The sequence below is a fragment of the Homo sapiens genome, chromosome 2 (assembly GCF_000001405.40).
Source record: "Homo sapiens chromosome 2, GRCh38.p14 Primary Assembly".
In the NCBI taxonomy this organism is placed as follows: domain Eukaryota; kingdom Metazoa; phylum Chordata; class Mammalia; order Primates; family Hominidae; genus Homo; species Homo sapiens.
In genome coordinates, this window is record NC_000002.12 from 186,485,800 (window position 1) to 186,510,481 (window position 24,682).

At 37.5% G+C, this 24,682-nt stretch overlaps 1 protein-coding gene, 1 long non-coding RNA gene and 1 pseudogene across 2 annotated transcripts in view, besides 1 other annotated feature; 1 reads left to right on the forward strand and 2 right to left on the reverse strand.

Annotated features, from left to right (window-relative positions):
* Positions 1–201, reverse strand: part of LOC105373785 (uncharacterized) — a 29,999-nt gene extending 29,798 nt beyond the window's left edge. Inside the window, exon 1 of the long non-coding RNA XR_001739147.3 lies at positions 1–201. This is a non-coding gene — a long non-coding RNA (uncharacterized LOC105373785).
* Positions 91–570: an enhancer, noted in NCBI's record as "active region_16843". NCBI's record gives its function as "activates an Ori minimal core promoter by ATAC-STARR-seq in GM12878 lymphoblastoid cells {active_cell/tissue: GM12878}" and the evidence as "EXISTENCE:reporter gene assay evidence [ECO:0000049][PMID:35858748]".
* ZC3H15 (zinc finger CCCH-type containing 15) lies at positions 461–23,562 on the forward strand. The gene is made up of 10 exons (NM_018471.3): positions 461–658; positions 9,434–9,535; positions 14,383–14,494; positions 15,474–15,626; positions 16,697–16,788; positions 18,233–18,415; positions 19,652–19,798; positions 19,941–20,042; positions 20,914–21,037; positions 22,744–23,562. The coding sequence occupies exons 1-10, from the start codon at positions 584–586 to the stop codon at positions 22,932–22,934; spliced, it is 1,281 nt and encodes a 426-aa protein (NP_060941.2). The 5' UTR covers positions 461–583; the 3' UTR covers positions 22,935–23,562.
* Positions 2,757–3,370, reverse strand: DPRXP1 (divergent-paired related homeobox pseudogene 1; annotated as a pseudogene).
* Positions 23,563–24,682: the final 1,120 nt, after the last annotated feature.

The following is a 24,682-nucleotide window of genomic DNA, read 5'->3' on the forward strand; positions in this document are numbered from 1 at the left end:
GGGCCATTCAGCTCCGCCTCTCCAGGGAACAAGAAGGTTAACTGAGTAACGTGGTCACGGAGCAACCCCGAGTCGCTGCGGCTGCTTAGTAGTCACTCAGGATGGGGATGGTACAGGGGACCATTAACTGGCCCGGCAGGAAAAGTTTCCCGGTGAGGTGACGATGGACAAGAGTCGCCCCATCGTAAGCGAAAGTGGACTGAGAGGAAGCACAAACGCATGGACTCAACCAGCTCGCCCAGATTCACCCTCAGGCCTTTTGCCATCTGAAAAGGGCCTATCGGATGCGCGACATCACGAGTGACGCGTAGTCATTTTCCCACGTCCCGTCCCTGCCCCCTCCTAGTGGGACGCAGTGGGCGCGCACGCGCAGCTCCGCTTCCGGGAGCCGCTCCTCGCTACCCACTATGCTCTGCGACATCGACCTGTCGCAAAGGCCGCGTTTGCGGGGCCAATGAGCGACTCGCTTTCCGTGCGGTGCGGCGAGTGAGGCCCCGGTCTTCCTCCTCGTCCTGCCGCAGGGCCAGAACCCCTGACGGTATTCAGCTGCGCGTAAGTCTGGCCGGTGCCATCTGTCTCCGCAATGCCCCCCAAGAAACAGGCTCAGGCCGGGGGCAGCAAAAAGGCGGAGCAAAAAAAGAAGGAGAAGATTATCGAAGTGAGTACCCACCCCTCCCCCACTCACGCCGCGAGCCCTCCGGAAAGCCACTTCCCCGCTCCGGGCTTCCCTGGGAGCCGGCTCGCTTCCTCGGGCCACGTGTTCCTCCCTTAGGCCTGTGTGGCCCACTGCCCCTTCTCCAGCCCCTGATGACGCTAGCTCTCTCATTACTATAGTGACGCTGCTGGCGCCCCCGCACCTGGGCTTTGCCTCTCCGCCCACACGCCCGTGTTCACCCACCCATGCACCCGGGTGCGAAATGACCCCTCGGGACTGGCACAGGGTTTTATCCTTCGCTAGTCCTCTCAGAATTGAGGAGATTTTCCAAGGTTATGTGTGAAGAAATACGCTGAACGGTCTCGGGCCAGCGTCTTTCTGGAAGACCGACTCATGACGAGTCTTTGTGTTCGTTATTTCTTTACCCGTCACCCAGGGATGGTACTGTTAGTTCTTTTGAACCAACAAATTACGACTTGGTGGCTTTTTCGATCCACCTCTGAAATGTTTAAAGTCCCATAAAGAATGGAAGGACTTTCCGTCACAACCCAGGGTCTTGAACGCAGAGCTTGGTACTTACATTCTGAAGTGGATTAAATAGGATAACGCCTTAAAAGAGATTAGGTTTCAGTGTCACTAATTGTGTGAAGTCCCGTAACCCAGTTTGAGATATATGTGTGTGTGTGCGCGTGTATATATGTATACATCTATGTGTGTGTATATGTGTATATATGTGTGTGTATATATATTCGTTTAACACATTGAGCCTGTAGCCCTTTAATGGCCAAGGAACGCTATTGACGTTCTTACATGTTGTGCACTTGTTTTCCAACAACTGAATTGAGTTTCCTTAAAAGATGAACCATATTTGACATTACGTAAACATACCATACAGACCCCAACGAGGTATTTCTTCCCTCGATTTCTGCTATTAATCCTCCTCATAATTAAATAGGACCTCTTGTACTTTGGATATAATTAGAAAAAGCCATGACCATTTTACCGCATAAGGTGTAAAGTCTGCTCATTGGATTTAAGAAAATGCTTAAGAATTTTGCTATACTTGGCCAGGTTCCAACTTTGGAGGAGAACTGGTATTCTTATTGCCAATTTGTACAGTTTAAAACTGTCATGAAGTACTATAGCCAGACACTTAAAAACAAAATATTACCTTCACATCTGTGTTTTCTATTACCTTATTTGAACAATCTGGATTCGTGGCACTTAGGTAAATTTCAGGGGTTGCTGATCGGATGGCATTCACTTTTATGAAAACCAAGGACATTTTAGGGATGTCGTTTTCCTCGAGATTGGACCCTGATACGAAGTAAAACTCCCATTGAAATTAAATGTTATGTAATAATTTAGACAATTTAAATTATACTTCATGCATTGTAGAGCTTTCTCTATATCTAATTGTTTTATTTTTAATTAGTAGGACTAGTATTCTTATTTTAAGGAATTATGTGTGAAAGTTGTTTATAGTATCCATCAACTTTTAAAATGATGCATATGTTATGATTCTAGTCATCTTGTGACGAAATTATTTTTTAGCTAAAGAGAAAGCAATTTTAGTTTCAATAATGAAGGTATCTCCAAAGAAAAATGCAAAATAAGACAACTGCACTTTTTAACTAAAAATATTAACAACAACAAAGTGGTGAAATTAAGCCCGATTTTGTGTTTTCTACATTTAATATATATTATTTTTTTAATTTATTTTTTGTTGAGGTATAACTTATGTAAAATAAAATGTACAGGTTCTAGATGTATAGTTCTATGTGTTTTGAGGAATTTATTCACCCAGGTAGCTGCCACCCTAATTAAGACTTGAAACATTTCTATCACCCCACTAAATTTGTTTTGTGCCTCTTTCTATTTAATTCTTTCCACACGTGCAGCCACTAATTTTTTTGACAGGATAGATTAGTTTTTACCACTCTAGGAACTCATATAAATTATACAGTAGGTAGCCTTTGTGTCCTTCTTCTTGCTTTCACACCATGCAGTGTTTTTGAGATCCATGCATGTTGTGTATATTTCTAGTATGTTCCTTATTGCTGAAAAGTATTCTCTTGTATGGGAACCATTACAATATGTCACCTTTTGTGTTTAGTGTCTCTCTCTACTTGGAGGAACCAAAAGACGTTATAATTGACGCTTGAAAAACAAACTTAGGATTCCAAAATGGGTTAGAGGCGGTGTTTGTTAAAATCTCGGCAGCCAGAATGGATTATTTTGTGGCTAATGGAGTCATCTGTAGGGACCTTAACCTTGGGGCATACGCTGAGTTGGCATGAGAGTGTCCAATCATCTGTATACATTAGAGCTACAGGATAGGCATCATTAGGGGATCTGGGTGGTGTGTCTATTTCTCTGGGAAGGACTGGTCTTGACTACACCCTCAGTTAATTGCAGTTGTTGAGCTTCTTGCTTTTGCTGAATATGCTTGCATTTTGCTTTCTTGTGTTTTGTGCTATCATTCTTTAACCTAACCTGCAGTACCGTTGGATGTATGTCTTTGAGGCCATTTCTTTCTGAAGACTGAGGTTTGGGTATGGGTTCTTAGTGAACAAGATGTTCAAATATTCCATTTGTTTCTCAGTGATCATAGTTTGTTTCCTTTGAAATGTGTCCACTTGCCTTTAAGAAGGTCCTCCTAGCCTGACATCTTGTAATCTAGATGTTCTTTTATGTTCTGGTCCAGGGACCTGATGAGCTTTTTCAAAAAATACTGCAACAAAGTTTGTCAGACTCATGTGCAACATTGATATTTGCTACTACTGGAGAGGTACAACAATATTTTGAATTGTAGTGTTAAGTTACAGCATTTGTGAAATTAGATTTATAGAGACTATTCTGTTATTCAGCCTGGTTAGGAAATGATATAGTCTGCTTCATTATATAGGCAACTTTTTTTTTAAACTTCCCTAAAAGCCTAGCACGTCTCAGTGACTATTCCAAGAAGATAATTGATCTCTGTGACTGTTATAATTTTGGAGGGGGAAATACTACTTTTTTATAGTCTATTTTGACATATAAAGACTGATACTTATTTCAGAATCTGGTTAACTTTGGGAGGTTTTATAGCTGTATGACCTGAAATTCTAAATTGCTCAAAATTAATAGTTAACTAAAACATGTATTTTTAAGCAGCACGTTTCAATAGACTTGAAAATAATGGTTGTCCTACCTACCTCTTTCCTCTTCTGTACCTGTTCTGCTGCCACCTCTATGGACCTTCACTGTGGAAAAATCAACATGCAGGTTTTGGGAACTCTAAGGAAGTAAAAGAGACATCAGATAGCATAAATTAATGAAAGGAACACTAGCTTTGGAGTCAGAGACCTGGGTTTGAGTCCCATGTTTCAAATTACTAGCTCTATAGTTTTAGACAAGTTACAAAATCTAGCTGGAATGCAATTCTCATCTGCAAAATGCAGCTAGTTCCCGTGAGTTAAATGAGATAATACATGTAAAGTGCCTGCCATATGGTGTATATATTCAGTAAATGGCAGCTATTGTTATTGCCTATTTTGATAGTGTATTATAAATAAAAACTAGGGGACATCAGACTGATCTGCACAGTCTATACAGTGCTTAGTTCCTGCCCATTTTTTAATATTGCCTCCATTTTTTAATATTGCCTCCATTTTTTTTATTTGCCTCTTCAAATGCCCCAAAACTTTATGAATTCATTTGTATTAATACTTTCCGAAATGAATATGTCAAACAGGATTATGGTTCTGTTAGAAATTAACACATTAGTCTGAAATGGCATATACCATTTGCTTTCTTACAACTAAAATTTAGTGACAAATGGAGTCAGTATTGAGCAATAGAAAGTTTGAATATGGAAAGAAGGAAATAATCTTGGACTTAGGGCAAGCAAATAAAAGATACCCAGCTAAGAACTTGTATCAGCAAGGAAATAGTAATAGGGACCTATAGAGACAGGATCCAGGTGTCGTGAAAGATGGAGCAAGAGAAATTGGTTGCCAGTGTAGAACAGCTACCAATAGCCAAAATCAAATGTTGATTACTTGAAGCTGGATTAACCAGTTGCATAATATATATTGCATGGATGGACAACAAGAATACATTAGTGCATTTGGGAGAAAACTAATGAGGGAAAACCGTGACAGCTTCTGCCTACCCGAATGTCCCAAGAGGGTAGACTCCATTATCTTGGAGCACTATTCAGTGTTGACCTGCCCTTCCGCTGCTTCCCTTTTTCCAAACATCTTATTTAAGCAGTGGAGGCTGGCCCGTAAAAGGAATGGGATTACGTACGGATGGGAGGGAAGTTTTAAGTGAAGCCTGGAATTTACTGAGTGTTAAGGCTCTTGGAGCCTCAGGAAGTCATCCTTTTCTTTCGAGACTCCTCTGTATTCATGTCCCAAGTTGTCTTCTGAAACACACATAAACACGCAGTTCCTTTACTATCATGTTAACTTTTGGGACCTTATTAATCCAATGAGGACCATTATTCTCCTAGTTTTATTTTAACTGTGGTTTGGGGTTGACTGTAACCTCCTTTTTTTCTACCTTGTAATTCAGGTTAATCTTTAGGTAGGGCTCTGTCCTAAACTCAGGAAGAAGCCTTTTTGAACTTCTCCAAATTGCAAATCATTCTGTTTTCAAGAGGTGCTATTGGTATCTCAGATCTGCAGTGTGATATTTAGAAAGGTTATTGCGCACCAACCAGCCCAATAACTTAATGAGGTTTCTCTGGGAAGTAGTTTATTAAAAACTGTAGAAGGAATTTGCTTGGAGTCAAATATACCTAGGTTCAAATATCATCTGTCACTTAATAGTTAACATTTACTGGCCCAGACAAGGTTCTCAGTGTTTTGGGGAGAAGGAGAGAAGAGAGACAAGCCAACTACAAGTGATAAATATACTAGCTCCTTTGATTCTCTCAGTGGGATATGTATTATTACCCTTTTTGCAGTTTTGAAAACAGGCATAGATATTAAATAACTTGCCCAAGTTTACTAACCTGGCAAGTAACTGTGCCAGGGATTCTAACACAGGAAGTCTGCCTCTAGAGTCCTTGCTGTCCACCACTGTCTCTCTGAGGTAAATCTTTTAACTTTCACAACAACCCTAAGTGAGACTCACTTTACAAATAAGAAACTGTGGCAAAGAGGGTAATTTACCCAGCTCTGTTTGGGATTAAAATTTGGGCAGTCTGGCTCCAGAGTTTATGCTTCTAAATGCTTGCACTATACAGCCAGCCCCTTATTAATGACTTAACTTCAAATGAATTTATCATTTCTGAGTTTCTGTGTATCATAGAATTGTTGAGAGGATTCAATAAAGTATATATTCAGGGGTTATGTTTATGTTTAGTGAATACTAGATAAATAAGTGTCCCCTTTCTCTGTGGAAAAATGTTAATTTCTGAGCTCTAACTTAGAGGTGAACACAACTCACTTATTATCTCTTTAAACTGGTTATTTATGTGCCAGAGCAGTGTAATGAAACCTGATTTTTTTTTTCTTCTTCTGGGATCGGGAGTTTATACACCTTTACCAGAAACTGCCATTGTGAGTGCTTTCTTTTCTTACTGGCCAGGTCCCCTTAGGGGACATTTTTCTTTCCTAAGTCTATCTGGCAGTATCTGCTTTGCTATTTGGCCTTATTTATTCATTGTTTCTTCTCTGTAGTTACAGATGGAGCATGGGTTGAACCGCAGTTTATTTTCTCTGGCAGAGCACCTGTAGATGCTGTTTAATCCTGATCATATTTTTTTCTAGAGCCTCCTCTCCCTCCCGTGAGAGCTCACTTTTTGTAAAGGAAAAGTATGGCATTTTATACTTAGTTGCTGCACTGTGTTCATCTGTATGTATCACATTATGTTGACCATCTTTCTTCAAATTGAATTGAGTGTTAAACTTTCTTTATAGAAACAAGGGAAGCCATCCGTAAAAGGCTCAGTGCAGAAACATCCAGCTTGTTTGTGCTTCTTACCTTTTTTCATACACATAGGCTGTAGAAAATTCATGTAGAATTTTGTATAATACCATGTTGGGATGTTAAATCATGAAACAAGCATTTAAGTAGAGGAAAGCAAAGTTTTGGTATATGGATATAGATGTCATGAATAAAGAGATATTTCCCAATGAGAGATAACCATTTAGAAGCAAAACCCTCTGTACTTTTTTGTCTTAAGACTATTGAAAGATCTTTTACTGATTTTGAGGTTGCTGTAAACATTATGTCATGTTGTATGTTTTTAAATACTAATTGTTTCAGTACTATTGTTTTCTTTTTCTAGCTTGTCCACGTGGTGGTATTTTGTATCTATTATTCTTTCTACTCATTATTACTTTTCCTTTCCCTTAGAAATAATAGCAAAATAAAGGCTATAAAATGGCCACTTGTTTCATACTAAATGCCACTCAGAGGGTCTCAAATTACTTTGAGAAGACCTTTTTGCCTCTTCTTCCTCTCTAAAACCACCCATAAACAAGAGAATGAGAAAGAAATACAAATTCTATTTTGAAATTAGAAGACATCTGTAATCTTGGACCTCAGCATATGAAGATTGGCAGTAGATGGATGAGTTGGTAACTGACTTAGAGCAGAGCGGTTATGTCTGAGTGCCTGTCTAGGAGTGTGCCTGTAAGAAGCAAGTGCATTTCCTCTGCAAAATTATGAAAAAAAAAAAAAACTCAACAATGGGAAGCACTAGGTAATACAGAAGGCAAGAGGCTGAAAACTAGAAGTTAAAAGTGTTAGGAGTAATTAATAATTCTTATCTACTACAGCTCAGCCAGGTGACTACCTCTGCAAGAAACAGGAGGGGTCTTCTTGGAGGTGGGAGGTGGCAGAGAACAGGCCTCTCTGCTTCTGGAACACTAAGCACAGAGGAGGTGGGATGTGAGCCTGAAAATGGAAGCTAGTAAGTCTGTACAGTAAACTGAGACCCCTTCTACCTGCTCTTTTCTCTTGTTTACAGTTAGACTTATTGCCCTCCCAGCTGGAGGATCTTTCTCCAGAGAACCAGAAAAGACCCAGAAAAAATATTTCAGATATTAGCATTTGGTTTCTTGTCAGGCTTGTCACACATTCACCTTAGGGAGAAGCTCACTAGTCAAGCCTGCTATATGAGTTTCTTAGAACTGCTGTAACATGACTACAAACTGGGTCACTTAAAACAACAGAAATTTATTCTCTCAGAGATCTGGAGGCTAGAAGTCTGAAATTAGTGTCAGCAGGGCCATGCTCCCTCCCTCTGAAGACTGTAGGGAAGAATTCTTCCTTGCCTTGTCCTAGTTTCTGGTGGCATCTGTCAATCCTTGGCATTCTTTGGCTTATATAGCAGTGTCACTCTGTCTTCACATTTCCTTCACTTTGTGCCTGTGTGGTCCTTATTAAGGCACCAGTTATTGGATCTAGGGCCTACCTTAATCTAGTATGATGTCATCTTAACTCATTACATCTGTGAAGACCTACGTCCAAATAAAGTCAAATTTATGGTCAGGTGGACTTGAATTTTGGGGGACATTCCAAAATTCAGCCCACTACAGACCACTGCTCCCCTCCACACACACGCTTGCTCATACTTGTGCAATGGCTTCTATATGTTTTTGTACTGCATACTTATTTTTTTTAATGTTTTTCTCCCCCCAACCCCATACTGCATACTTACTAAATATGAGTAGATAGCCAAGGATCACCATTAGTGCTTAGCACATAATGAGCATTCCATAAGTGATAGCTGCTGTTATATTGAATATTACCAAGTTACTGTATTAATATTCCAGATTTAAAGAAAATGTTGCTTTTAATTTACATACTTTTAGTATTTCCATCTTAGCAATAACTAGGAATGTATACATTTCAGTAGTTTGATTTCTTTATTAAATTTAATTGTTTTTGAGAGGATAACATTTATTAACTAAAAAACCAGTCCAGAACTGAATGTATCTTCCTCTTCTTATGTAGTAGTCCCAAAAATGTGTTCAGTATCGTATAACCTCTCAAGATACTCTGAGTAAAAATGGATTCTGCTACAAAGGATGATTTGGAGGTGCTGCATATTATTATATTCCCTCTGATAAGGGCTGTAAGATACCTTGTGCTTAAGAATTAAGAATCCTTTTAATCAAGCATTTTCCTAAATGTATTTAACTACAGGACTTCTTATCCCAATATAAGAACTTTGCACATCCCATAGAACTGATATCCAAAATATGCTTTAGAAAAAGCTTCATAGAAACTGGAAACCATCATTCTTAGCAAACTATCGCAAGGACAAAAAACCAAACACCTCATGTTCTCACTCATAGGTGGGAATCGAACAATGAGAACACTTGGACACAGGAAGGGGAACATCACACACCGGGGCCTGTTGTGGGGTGGCGGAGGGGAGGGATAGCATTAGGAGATGTACCTAATGTAAATGACGAGTTAATGGGTGCAGCACACCAACATGGCACATGTATACATATGTAACAAACCTGCACGTTGTACACATGTACCCTAGAACTTAAAGTATAATAAAAAATATATATAAAAATAATAAAATTTAAAAAGCTTCATAGAATAACAGGTTTAATGATGATAATGTTGAGTACATATTGAATTGTAAAGAATCTGGGTGATGATTTAAGGTCATATATTGCCTTGACTTGATGTTTAGTGTTTTGCATGTTTTTATATTAGTAAAGAATAATTATCAATAAAAATAATGATTTTTAGATATCATTGGAGGATATATATGGTAACATAAATTGCTAAGATATTTCTGTGCTCTTTCTCATGTAGGACAAAACTTTCGGTTTGAAGAATAAGAAAGGAGCAAAGCAACAGAAGTTTATCAAGGCTGTCACACATCAAGTTAAATTTGGTCAACAAAATCCACGTCAGGTAAGTAATTTAAATGTCCATATCTTTTTATAAATGTAATATTAATATAGCCTCTGTTTCAGATAAAATGTCTGGTATTATTATATAATTGTATTTCAAAACAGAATCCTACTTGAAATGTTTTTGCACCTTGGCCTTCCTTACCAGCAGTACCTCTTGGATATTGTCCAAGCCATTTTGATATAACTCTCATTTATTCTAATAATGATTGCATGCCGTTCTACAGTACAGGTGTGTTATATTCATCTATTTCACTGTTCATAAGTGATCACTTTGTTTCCAGCTTTCTGACACTAAGACCACCTGTAGAAATACAGGAGTTCTTACATGTGTTTATGCTTTTATTTCTGTGGCATAAATTAGCTGGTAACAGACTCCAGATCAAGGGAAATGGATTTCTAATTTTAACATTATAAATTTGCCAGATCACTTTCCATAGAGGCTGTAGTACTTCACATTTTCATTTGTAGTACATGAGCAATAGATACTAAAGTTCTTTTTAATGTGTTACAATCTGATAAGTATAAAGTGATATCTTATTGTTACATTGTTTCCCTCGCTACTGGAGAGTATCTTTTGTATACTTGTTAGCTGTTTGGGTTTGCACTTCTATGACTTCCCTATTGAAATTATTTGCTTTATTGGTTGTCTTTTTCTTGTCAATTTATGAGATACCTTTTGTCTGCATTGCAGATAATTGGTGATATTTCAGTTATGTTTTGCCATGCACCAATTTTTAACTTACATGTATATATAGAGTTTAATATTGCTAGATATGTTGCTAGCTTTTTAAAAATATGGTTATAAGGTCTCCCCTGCCACTGGATTCTGCATGTTTTTCCTAGATCATTTGTAATTATTTTATTTTTATAGTCTATGTCATATGAATTTATTTTATATATCTTAAAGTTCTCACTCTGTTGCCCAGGCAGGAATACAATGGTGTGATCTTGGCTCACTGCGGCCTCTGCCTCCTGGGTTCAAGCCATCCACCTGCCTCATCCTCCTAAGTAGCTGGGACTACAGGCGCATGACACCACACCTAGCTAATTTTTGTATTTTTTGTAGAGACGGGATTTCGCCGTGTCACCCAGGGTGGCCTCACAATCCGCCTGCCTTGGCCTCCCAAAGTGCTAGGATTACACACGTGAGCCACCATGCCCAGACTAAGTTTGTTTTCTTTTAAATGAATAGCTGCTTACACCAGCATCATTTATCCAACTGAAATACCACTATTATCCTACAGTCATAGTCATACATTGTTTAGTGATGTGGATACAATCTGAGAAATGTGTCGTTAGGCGATTTAGTCATTGTGCAAATATCATAGAGTGTACTTACACAAACCTAGATATTACAGCCTACTACACACCTAGGCTATATGGTATAGCCTATTGATCCAAGGCTTCTAACTTATACAGCATGTTACTGTACTGAATACTGTAGGCAGTTGTAACACATTAGTAATGATTTGTGTCTGAACATAGAAAAGATAGAGTAAAAATATGGTATTATAACCTTACAGGATTACTGTCATATGTGGTCCCTCATTGACCTAAATGTCATTAATTCTGTGCTTGACTGTACATTAAAGTCTCAAGGCAAGTCTTTTCCCCAAAATGGTATACCTTTTCTATTTTTCCTGGTTGTTCTTAGGCATTTATTCTTTCATACGAATTTTAAAATGAGTTTATCCATTGGCAACTCATTTGAAAAAAATGTAGCCCCTTTTTTTTTCAGGTTCTTTAGACCTCTCACTTGTAAAGATTTCATAGACATGGATCTTTATTTTTAAAGTACATTTTTCCACCATTTTTATCTCCTTTTCATTAACTTCTGGAAACACATTTTTGTAATGTAGGAGAGAAGAAAGAATTTCTCATGTGTTTACAGATTTTTTAAAAATCTGCTAATATGTATTTGTGAGATAAGTAAATTTCTCTTGCTCATGCTGTCTGCAAATCAGTGACCCAACACTTTCCTTTCACATCCATTTTCCCAGCTTGATTCTAGAATCTAAAACTATTGCTCTTCCAAACTGCTAACTTAATAGCCCGGTTTAATAAAAATTAATGTTTAGAGCTCACGCCTGTAATCCCAGCACTTTGGGAGGCCGGGGCGGGCAGATCAGCTGAGACCTTGCAGTGAGATAGACTTGGGTGTGAATCTTCCTATCTTTTTTGTTACATGATCCTTAAATAGCAACCCTGGTCTTTATCTGTACTGTGGAAGTGCAGTTATTCTTTGTTGGATTCTTCTGGTGGTTAAATAAGAAAATAATGTAAATTTTCTGGTGAATATAGATATCAATATGTAAGAAGAACTCACTTTCTTCACTTAGCCCCTTTTTCAATCCTGCTTTCTCTTCCCCAACTTTTTCTTCTAGTGGAAAGTGTTTTGAGTGGTGATATCAGAATTCATAAACCTGGGAAAGTTATGAAATGTGTGTGCTGGTAGTTAGCTTTGATAGTATATTTAATACTATATTTTTGATACTTGCGTGGATAACTGGACTTATCTGTGAACATGGGGTACCTACCCATCATATATAACATCGGAAATGAGCAGTAGTGCTGCTCTTAGAGCTGGACAGGGGGTATCCTGGTCTAGGCCCTGCGATACATGTGTCTTCTCCAGACTGCTGTCTCCCCTCAGGTAAGGAGTCACTGAAGCCAAGGGGATGTACCCACCCAGATTTTGCAACATCTCTTCCTACAACATTCTGACCCTGGTTTATCTGCCTACAAAGGCCTCTCCACCATGCCCATCTCTGTCCATTGTGCTACCAATATGTCTGAGGTAGCCAAGAGAACAGTGTACGCTAAGGGTTTGAACAGAGCCTGCATCCATACCCTTTCCTTCCTTCTTGCACCTTTACCTCCCCCTACACCCAAAATGGAATGAAACGGGGTGGGAAGAGGAGAAAAAAGAGCCCAGGGCTAACTCTTGTGTTGCTGCCATGCTTCAGTGTGGAACTCCATGGAGTCTGAGCATTTTAAATTTGAACCTGTCCTTCCAGGTCATAAGGTATATTTGTCGAGTAGGGTTACAGACCATATTTTATTCATCATGAACTTGATTTCTAATTTTAAATATTTAGATAAATGGCTTGTAGACCTCCATTGTATTCTTGCTCAAACATTGCCCCACAAATGTTTGAGATGGGCCTGATGAGCAAAGGATACTTCTATTAAAAATTAAGCGACTTAAATTTTTTCTTTCAAAACATTTTTTGTGTTTAAACACATCCACCATATAGAGTCATATTCAGGATTTGGGATGTCTTTGACCTAATTATAGCATTTGGCCATTCCTTTCCTAAAATTTCCTCTTTCTTGAACACATTTTGTCCTGGTTTTCTACCTGCTTCTTTGATGTTTCTAGGTCTTTTTATTGGACTTTTTAGGTTCTTTTGTCCCATTTTATGTTGATTTTCTTCAAGGAAGTGTCCTTTACTCTTGCCACTTTTTTATGCTCTCCTTAAGTACCATATACCCAAAGTTTTAATTGTTACCTGTAAGCTGCTATTTCTAAAGTCTTTATCTCAAAGCAGACCCTCTCTGATTTCAGTGGAATCAATATGCATGTCTATCTGCCTTCAAAAGAGCTCTACCCAGATGCTTTGTAAGCATCTTGCACTCTGTATGTCTAAAACTAAGCTCATCTTCACCTCTTACCCTGAAACCTGTTCCTCCTGTATTCCCTGTCTTGTTTAACGGCACTAACCATATACATGATAATCCTAGATTCCTCCCCCTTTATACTTCATGTTCAGTCAGTCCTATCAGCTCTGTCTCCTTTTCTCCATCCTTACCAGTAATGCTCATTTTAAGCTCTTGTGTTTTATTGTGTACAGCAGTTGCAGCAGCCTCTTGCCTTTATTCTTGGATTCCCAATCCATCCTCTACAAAACTTGCCCTCTTGATATTTTATAAAATGTGACCTGACCTTGTTATTGGGTTACTTTAAACAGTTGAGAGAACTCTGTTCAAGCTACTGATGCAATCTAAGCATCTTACTGATGTTTCTCATACTTTATTCCTCTAGTCCCTGTAACTTTGCATTGGCTGGCTCTTTCTGTATTTCTTTTCTTGCCCATCAAGAAAAACTCATCCATAAGGTTATTGGCTCAATTTAGTTTTCTCAGGTATATGGGCATTCTTTGTTCCCAGAGCACTATGTACTATGTTACAGTTGTTGACATGTCTGTCATCCTGCTAGATTCTGAGCTTCTTTAAATAAGCATCTTTGTCTTTTCATTGTATTCTCTGTCATCTAACATAGGACCTGACGTATAAATGTTTGGATGAATCCTCTAATCATATTAGGTATGTAAATCGTGTGCCTGGAACTATGTTATATGTCATGTTTTGTTTTGAATTGTTTTGTTTAATATCCTACATTGACCTAACCCAGTGTTTTTCCATGAGGGCACTATATAGGTTTTTGGGGTGGTATAATTCATTATCATGTGGGACTGTACATTTCAGGATGTTTGCTTGTCTCATCTTCAAAATGAACCTGTACGTTTCTGGGGAGTGGGTTGTTTTCACAGAAGAATATTGCAGGTGAAAACTATTTGCTAAAAATGCTGAGCATGTAGTAAGTGCTTAATAAATGCTTGTTGCTGTAAGCTTTTGCTTTTAACTAGGCATGGTACCATCATTACAATTTTGTTTAATAGTTTAACCACAACATTGAATAGACTCTGTAAGGCCATTATAACACTGATGTTAAAAGGTAAGGACTGTAAATATGCAAGTGTCTTGTTATGGTAATGCTAACTTTGTAGTAAAAACAATTTTGTAAACAATCAAATTTACATTTTAAACCTGGGAATATTATAGGTAGCACAGAGTGAAGCTGAAAAGAAATTGAAGAAGGATGACAAGAAGAAAGAATTGCAGGAGCTAAATGAGCTGTTCAAACCTGTAGTTGCTGCTCAAAAAATAAGTAAAGGTAAACTTAAAATTTCAGAAGTGTGATTTTTTATCAAATGTAGTTTATGCTAAAAACTATTTATTTTGATGTTTATTTTCTTTAGATAATGAGACAGTTATGTCTGAATGAAAATGTTACTCCATCAAAATTACCTATGTCAGTGGGTTGCTTATGATTCCTCTGTATATGTTCACATCTGTGTCATTGTACAGCTGAACTGCAGCCATGCACCCCACACTTAAGGCAAAATTAGTAATTTAATAGACTGCTAATTGATTTATAACATTCAGTCTTTGGTAGTAGGTAAGCAAAGCCATAGTTGAATAAACTGTACGTCCCAAGTTTTTGGCACTGTTCTGTCATGTATGTTCATTTCTTTTTTGCCTTTTTTTGTTTTTGTTTTTGTTTTTGTTTTTTTGAGATGGATTGTTGCTCTGTCACCAGGCTGGAGTGCAGTGGCACCATCTCAGCTCACTGCAACCTCCGACTGTCTGGTTCAAGCCATTGTCCTGCCTCAGCCTCCCAGGTAGCTGGGATTACAGGCACGCACTACCACGCCCAGCTAGTTTTTGTATTTTTAATAGAGACGGGATTTCATCATGTTGGCCAGGATGGGCTCGATCTCCTGACCTCGTTATCTGTCTGCCTCGGCCTCCCAGAGTGCTGGAATTACAGGTGTGAGCCACCATGCCTGGCCTCCTTTTTGCCTCTTGCCCTATTGACATCAACTAGACAAAGCCTGTGAAATAGCCTATGTTCTTGTTTGGTTTCCCACTCTCTGCCACCTTTCATAGTCAGAATAAAAGAAACAAAAGTAGACATAAATGCTACAAAAAGAACTTTAAAGAAATGTCTTGCTAATCACCCATAAGTGCCGTTTTCCTCTCACATCAGTGAATGGAAAATAAGTTAACCAAAATTCATCATATTTCAGGTAGAATCTATACTTTACAGCCTGGCAGATTATAATACAAATACCATATGCCATTTGACATAGGTGCAGATCCCAAGTCTGTAGTATGTGCATTCTTCAAGCAAGGACAGTGTACTAAAGGAGATAAGTGTAAGTTCTCCCATGACTTGACTCTGGAGAGAAAATGTGAAAAGCGAAGTGTTTACATTGATGCAAGAGATGAAGAACTTGAAAAAGGTAATTTTTTTAAAAACACTCTCTTAAAAATAAATGTTGAATACTTTCGGTTTGCTACTAAGATATTTATTAAATTGAAGAACATTTCAATCTTAATAGACTGTTTATAAAAAATAATTAATTGGGTTTATTATTTTTTATAAAATCTGAAAATTACCATAATATGCCCTTTAAGTAAATGAAGATACTTTAAAAAACAGTGATTTATTTTGGAATTGTCTGTCACCCTTTCCTTCAGTACTACCTGCTCATTTATCCAAAGTACTTAGGAAGCTTTGGTGAATAATTTTCTTTTTTTTTTTTGAGACGGAGTCTTGGCTCTGTCGCCCAGACTGGAGTGCAGTGGCACGATCTCAGCTCACTGCAGTCTCCATCTCCCAGGTTCAAGCAATTCTCCTGCCTCAGCCTCCCAAGTAGCTGGGTCTACAGGGTCGTGCCGCCACGCCCAGCTCATTTTTGTATTTTTAGTAGAGATGGGGTTTCACCATGTTGGCCAGGATGGTCTTGATCTCCTGACTTCGTGATCTGCCCACGCTGGCCTCTCAAAGTGCTGGGATTACAGGCATGAGCCACTGCTCCGGCCTTGGTGAATAATCTTAAAACTATTTATTTCTGCCTTTGGTGTTTTAAGAAAACCGTGAGGCCAGGAGCAGTGGCTCATGCCTATAATCCCAGCACTTTGGGAGGCCAAGGCAGGAAGAATCACTTGAGCCCAAGAGTTCAAGACCAGCATAGGCAACATAATGAGACCCCATCTCTACAAAAAAATAGAAAAATTAGCCAGGCATTGTGTTGCATACCTGTAGACCCAGCTGCTTGGGAGGCTAAGGCAGGAGGAATTGATCGAGCTCAGTCAATCAAGGCTGATTGAGGGAGGTTAGGGCTTCAGTAGGCCGTGATCATGCTATCACACTCCATCCTGAGCAACAGTGAGACCCCGTCTCAACAAAAAGAAAAAGAAAAATGTGTTAAGCCATGAGTCTTATAACACAGCATTAGTGTCTAAGGAGATATGTGTTGTGGGAGTAGTAGATAAGATTACAGTATTTAATCTTCATTTCTTTATTTAGATACTATGGATAATTGGGATGAGAAAAAGCTGGAAGAAGTAGTGAACAAGAAGCACGGTGAGGCGGAAAAGAAAAAACCAAAAACTCAAATAGTATGTCCTTTTCTTGAATTGAGTTGCTGTGATATTTATCATTAGGGAGAATTATGTGGCAAGGTATTTGCTGCTATTTTCTATTAGATTATTCTGTAAGTTACTGGAAAATTTGATTTCATCAAGATAAGGTACACGAAGCTTTATTTTTGGAATTTACAAGTTAGATTTTATAGATTCTTGTTCAGAAATAGCTGAACAAGAATAAAACTATGTTACTGAAGTCCTTTAAATGCCATTTTCTGAGGTGAACGTTCTCAAATATGGATAAACAAAATTACATATCCAGACAAAAATCCCTATTTTTTTGCACAGAGTGGAAGGAGGCCTGTTAAACTAACCCACTTAATAATGTATTTAGTTTTAATAGGGATAGATTTTTAAATTTTAAGGTTTAAAATATTTCTACATATGAATTCCAAAATGAATTTTTGGTAGGTAGTGGCTCTAATTCCAGGAAATGTACCTTTAAAAATTGGTTCTTGATGTCTCAAACTTTGCATTTATGTCTATATTTATAGTGAAGTTACAGTAAAAAGTCTTGCTGTGCTAGAATAATTCTAAATACTACATTCATACACATCTGTTATGTTTGTTTTTGGGGGCGGATACTGTTTGTTAATTTTCTCTTACTTGCAAAGCTTAATACTTGAGGCTTAAATACAATTGTATCTTCTATCCATGTTGTGAAGGGTCACTCTCTTTGTGTTCCTTTTGTACCTTGCTCCTGTATACTGCTTGTGATTCATTTTTATTTAGGAAAGATCAAACCAAAGAAAATCATTTATTCTATTTATTTTATTTTTGAGGCGGAGTTTTGCTCTTGTTGCCCAAGCTGGAGTGCAGTGGCGCAATCTTAGCTCACTGCAACCTCTGCTTTCCGGGTTCAAGAGATTCTCCTGCGTCAGCCTCCCAAGTAGCTGGGGTTACAGGCATGTGCCACCACGGCCAGCTAATTTTTTGTATTTTTAGTAGAAGTGGAGGTTCACCATGTTAGCCAGGCTGGTCTTGAACTCCTGACCTCAGCAGGTGATCCGCCCGCCTCGGCCTCCCAAAGTGCTGGGATTATAGGTGTAAGCCACAACGCCTGGCCTGATTTTATTTTTTATAGCTAATTGTATATTCTGATTCGGGGGCGTACATTTACAAAGGGTAACTGAAACAAGTAAGTCATTTTCGTATGATTTAGAATTTAGAACAAATGAAAACTGTATAGATTCCCCTTTAAGGGAATTTGCCATTGTTCTACATATTTTAAGATAAACTTCTGTTGCATTTCTGCACAGAATAGAGGCTAGACAGAGCACCCTTATGTGCAGAAATGAATAGAATGTACTTGTGTAATATAACGTACTTGTGTGTATACTTGTTCCATATACTCAGGCATTTACCTTGGAAATGGCCTACACTGAGCCACCGCTTGTGAATAATATTGTCTCTATAGGTGTGCAAGCATTTCCTGGAAGCTATTGAAAACAACAAGTATGGCTGGTTTTGGGTATGCCCTGGAGGGGGTGATATTTGCATGTATCGTCATGCACTTCCTCCTGGATTTGTGTTGAAAAAAGATAAAAAGAAAGAAGAGAAAGAAGATGAAATTTCATTAGAAGATCTAATTGAGAGAGAGGTAACTGGTATCCTTTTCCTACCATAAAAACTGAAAGCAGTATTTATTGTGAAATTCTAATACTTACCACTTGGGGCAATAGCCTTTTATGAAAGGAAAAAAAAAATATTGTGATCTATTCCCAAAGTTGCCCTACTTTAATTATTCTTGTATGTGTAAAATGTTAACCTAGCCATAAACATTAGCCAATCATGACATTAATTTTAGGATTGTGAAACAGTCTTTTAAGTACTAGCTAATGGCTTATCAAATTATTTCTGTAAGATTGAGTTACTAAAAATGCTTAGTTCTCAGATTGGTTGAATTTTTATAGTTTTAGATTTTTCGCCCTGATATCTTTTTTCACTAGTATATTAGTTATTAGCATATGTACGGAAGAAGACAACACTCTAGTTTTTAAATTATATGTTTTATCAGCTCTGGACTCAAAACACTCACTCTGCTTATAGAAGGGAATGAGTCTGAAGAGGATATTCAGCTACTTGTCTTTGGCTCCGTACAAAACACAGTTTTATTCTATGAAAATTTTGAGATTATTAGAAACATTAGATTTAGGGTTGCATATTAAAAACTATATCCATTTTGCCTTATTATTTAGTGTCTCACTCAGGATATAACACACTATAATAGAAAATGTAGACTTCAGAATCAGGTATATTTGAGATGGTTTGTATACTGGTTCTGACACTTGTTAGCTATTCATCTTTGGTAAATTCCCCATTACCCTTTGTTCACCTATTTGTGGGGATCAGTGCATAGTGTGTGTAAAGCATTTAATACCTGGCAAGTGTTCAGCAAATTTTTTGTTCTATATATTTATTATTTGATTATTGGCCCTGAGGAGTAGGTGTTTGTTTGTTTGTTTGTTTGTTTAGTTTTATTTCTCATCTTCTCAGGAACACAAATGAAACTTGGATATTGTTATGGTGCTTTTTATAATATATTTATTATTTTCAGCAATTGATTCATGTTAAAACAATTTCTTATGACAAGTTACTCATCTTCAATGGTGAGAAGAAATCTAGCTCAGAATAATATATTTTTAGTGTTTGTATCTCTGGATACTCATTTTGCTCATTGCCACGTAAAGTAAAAAAATACATAAATTAGCTTATTCCAATGTAATATCTTCAGGATAGTCATGGGCAAGGAATTAATCACATTAAGAGATAACTGCAACTAAGCACTATTTGAGGTGACTTCTGTGGAAAAAAAATTAATTCTTTACCATTGCAGCGTTCTGCCCTAGGTCCAAATGTTACCAAAATCACTCTAGAATCTTTTCTTGCCTGGAAGAAAAGGAAAAGACAAGAAAAGATTGATAAACTTGAACAAGATATGGAAAGAAGGAAAGCTGACTTCAAAGCAGGGAAAGCACTAGTGGTATGTCTCAGGCTCACCCAAACTGATTCTTTATTCTTCCATTTTCAATTTCTGTGTCATGCAAGATTTTGTTTCTATTTCATCAGTGACAAGGAATGTTTAGATTTTTGTCCTGAGTTGATATATTTGTGTGTCTCAATAGATCAGTGGTCGTGAAGTGTTTGAATTTCGTCCTGAACTGGTCAATGATGATGATGAGGAAGCAGATGATACCCGCTACACCCAGGGAACAGGTGGTGATGAGGTAAGAGGAAGCTTTGTGCCTCATCTCCTTATGTTAATTGAAAGAAACAATAGAAAATACCACAACATGGTTAAGAGCCACCAACATCAGAGCCACAGTGCCTGGGTTCAAATCCTTACTCCAACCATGGGAAATTAATCTAGGCCTCCACCCTCATCTAATATGGACATAATGATTATCTCTACATCATAGTTTGTGAGAATTAATCGAGTTCATGAATTAGTAGTTCTTTATACAGCTTAGGACAGTGCCTAGTATGTGGTTGAGTGCTATATGTATTACCTGTAAAAAGTATGTTTTGTCCTCCCTCTAAAAGAGAGAGTTATTTTTTGGTTAATATTTTATGCTTAAAAGTTATGGGACAAGTGCACTAATTTAAAACTGCAGTGTAGGGAGCATGAGACAATAGCACAGTCATTTGGTTGTTGACAGATTTAGTAATAACAGATAACTTACTGTTGATTTTTTGTGTACTTACAAAATTCTGGCCTCTGGGTTGAAAGAAAAAAATTGTACTCTATATATAAAAATGTGATGGCAGAGGAAGAAGTTTCATATACCACCTTGCTATTCTTTTTAAACGAAGTTTAGAAAAAATAATTTTGAAAATAGATCTTTTGTTTTTGTTTTTTATAGAGACAAGGTCTGGCTTTGTTGCTCAGGCTGGTCTCAAACTCCTAAGCCCAGGTGATCCTCCACCTCGACCTCCCAAAGTGTTGGGATTACAGGTGTGAGCCTCCACACCTGGCCAGTAATTGGTCTTTTGTTTTCACTTGGATCAGTGATAATTTTGGCTCATTAAGATAAATGTCAGGAGTAAAAGAAAACTGTTCTTATTTGTAACAACTTTCTTTTCTATATGTTGTTAAAGGTTGATGATTCAGTGAGTGTAAATGACATAGATTTAAGCCTGTACATCCCAAGAGATGTAGATGAAACAGGTATTACTGTAGCCAGTCTTGAAAGATTCAGCACATATACTTCAGATAAAGATGGTAAGTATGCTAACTTTTGCCTAATTTTAAGAACTAGGAAGTTATCTAAAGGGGGTTATACCAGGCTTGGCAAACTTAGATGTGTGCAGGTACCAGATTGGTAACATAAATGTGTGGTTTGACCATAAATAAAAGCAGTAATAAATAGTGAAAGGCTGTAGACATGAGCAGCTGGGTGTATATTAAAATCATTAATGGAAACTAGAAGGAGACAAAAATGAGCTTGGAGTTAAAGTCAATGAGTTCACTTCGGGACCTCATGAGTTTGAGATTTTTTGATTATCAAAAGTGCACTGTCTAGGATATTGTGTAGACATGAACACCCTACAGAACATCAGTGTTATGGGGTAAGTAAAAGAAGAAATGCTTAGGAAAGACATTGAGAAGGTCAGAGAAAAATCAAGAAACAAGTTTCCAAAGAAGCAAGTAGGATGAAAAAGAATATAAATAAGTTACTGGTTGTAATTGGTTATAGGAATAGGGTGCCAGTTTCATTGAGACTGCAATGATAACGGTGAGAAGAAAAATGAATACAGTCCTCTCTCTCTTAATGTTTAGAGGGAAGACATGGTCATGGGAAGGGCTTTTTAGGATATGGAAAACCTAAATGTATCTGTAGCTCAGAGGAAGAGGATCTGGTAAGGAGGAGAAGTTGATGATAAAAGATTAGTTATAGAAGCAATACATGAAAGTATAAATAATGAGTTAGGTATGAGAATGGAGGGAAGGCTGTCTAGGATTGTTGGTATAATTTATGTCTAATTGTGCCTTGAGTTAGGTACTTGAAGAAAGGGGTAAAAGTTTGGCATGCTTGCTCTGGGAGAAAACAGCAGAAGAAATGCCCATTAAGGCAAAAGCTGAGACAGAAAAGGCTGAACATTATTTTTACAATAAAAGCACACAAGCTGTAACTTGAAAAACCAGCTTGCCCTCCCAAGATCTGAGAGTGTTAGCAAACCACTATCTTGCCAGTATTCAGATTGACTTGCTCTTTGTAGAAGTAGGGGCTTTGGTGACAATAGGCACAACTGCAAATAATTCAGAGATTATAAAATTCCCAAGACTTTGTCATCAGAGATGTTTGAAATAACTAAAATCTAAATTAGGCTGTTAAAAAATGTCTGTGTAATTGTCAATGGCATTGAACAAGAAAAGGCAGCATTTTTTTTCTCTCAGTTATTTATAACCTATAAGAAAAAGTAGCTGTATAGCACTATGTTTTTTTTTAACAATTTGATTACATGATGAAGATTTTCTGCTGTCACAATCACAGCATTACAACAGCATGATTTAAATACTATTTGCAAAACCAAAAGCCAAGTAGCTGCTTATATTACAAACATTTTTTTGGTTTCCATAACCATTTAGTCAAATAAAATATTATATGGAAATTGACTATTTAAAATCTAATTGCTAGGTCATGTAGGGAACACAGAGGTGTAGAAGATTGATCCTGCCCTCAAATGTATAAACCATTAAGTAGTCAAATGGCTACAGTGAAAAACAGTATTTTATAGTAGGTATAGATAATTGGCACAGATAAGCTCAGAAAAGAATGATCAGTTCTTGCTGGAGTAATTCTGGGGAAATGGCTTTCATGGAGAAAAGGAAAAGAGGAAGTGTAGTATCAGTCTATGTTGTCTATTGCTAATGTGGAATGGTGTTTTCTGCTTCTACGCCTTACTGATTCCAGTTTTTATATTTAGAAAACAAATTAAGTGAAGCTTCTGGAGGTAGGGCTGAAAATGGTGAAAGAAGTGACTTGGAAGAGGACAACGAGAGGGAGGGAACGGAAAATGGAGCCATTGATGCTGTTCCTGTTGATGAAAATCTTTTCACTGGAGAGGATTTGGATGAACTAGAAGAAGAATTAAATACACTTGATTTAGAAGAATGACACCAAACACATCGCTGAAAAAATTAAGTCAGCTCAGCACGAGTTGAAATTGACTACATTAATTTCTTTCCACCTAGAATCAACAGGATGTTTATTTCCTATGCTGATTCTGGAGGAGTTAACCTCCTGCAAAAAAGGCATCTTGTCCCTACATCTTCTCTTCTGACTTTGGCTACATCTCATAGTAAGTTCAGAGTAGTTCATGATAAATTGAAAATATAATGGTCATTGCAGAAAATGATTGATGTTGTAACTGTCCACCCAAGTAAGAAGTGTATCTGCCTTTCCATCTTTTGGTTTTCATTTGGGCATGTGCTATTACCAGAAACAACAAACTTATATTTAAAATACCCTTCATTTGACACAGTTTTTAATGAGTGATTTAATTTCCTCTGTATTTGTATGTTTAGAAGACTGCCTAAAACATGAGCACTGTACTTCATAAAGGAAACTGCGTATGCAGATTCAGTATTGTGTATCTTTGGACAATTAGATGGACATTTAAAATGGAACTTCTTTTATCTGACAGGATCAGCTACAATGCCCTGTGTTAAATTGTTTAAAAGTTTCCCTTTTCTTTTTTGCCAATAAAGTTGTAAATAAAGACCATCATACATTAAAATCCAAATATGGGCCTTTTTTTAAGTTTTTCTATGAAAAATTTAACATTTCTAGCTTGAGAATTTTAAATACCTGTTATAATATCACATAGGCATGTTTTCTTAATATTTACTACAGAAGCATCTAGAGTACTTGACAGTACTACAATGAGTTTAATAACACAAATACTAAGCTTCCAAAAAGAGACTTTAGGAGATGTTATATAAAAGAGTAACTTCTGAATTGATACAACATCAACCAAATTAAATATCACCTGCAGTTGAATCAAGTAATGCTTAAGAATTGTTTGTTGAGATTCATGGTGTTAAAATAGTACATACTACTGTAAGTATAAACAAATTCACCAGAAAACTTTGGGCTGAGGGTCTTTGGCACTAAGAGCCCCTGAAAAATTAGGGTGATAATACATTTAAAATGGACACAATTTGCTAATGACATATTTAGTACTAGCTACACCTTTTTTATTGTTATGTTTTGTATTTTCAAATAATATGTTGCTTTTGTTATTTGCGAATATAAATGGATTTTAAGGCAACTAAGATAACAGCACTAAAATGTCAGGTGAGCTGGACCCTAATCTCATTTCTGCCTCCGATAAATTATATGATTTTTAAATCTCTGAATCTTAGTTTCTTTATTTGCGTATTAAGGTTAAGACTCAATGATCTGGCCGGGCATGGTGGCTCACACCTGTAATCCCAGCACTTTGGGAGGCCAAGGCAGGCGGATCACTTGAGGTCAGGAGTTCAAGACCAGCCTGGCCAACATGGCAAAACCCCATCTCTACTAAAAATACAAAAATTATCCGGGCATGGTGGTGCATGCCTGTAATCCCAGCTACTCAAGAGGCTGAGGCAAGGGAATCGCCTGAACCCAGGAGGCAGAGGTTGCAGTGAGCCAAGATCATGCCACTGCACTCCAGCCTGGGCGACAGAGCAAGACTCTATCTCAAAAAAAAAAAAAAAAGACTGAATGATCACTAACGTACTTCTAAGTTGTAAAGCCTAAGAAATTTATGATTGCAAATCTTGTCAAATGATAACATCAAAGTTGATAAAGAAATTGACTTCCTAGCTGTTTAGTACTAGTACTATACAACTGACAGTTTTTAAATATAGAACATCAGG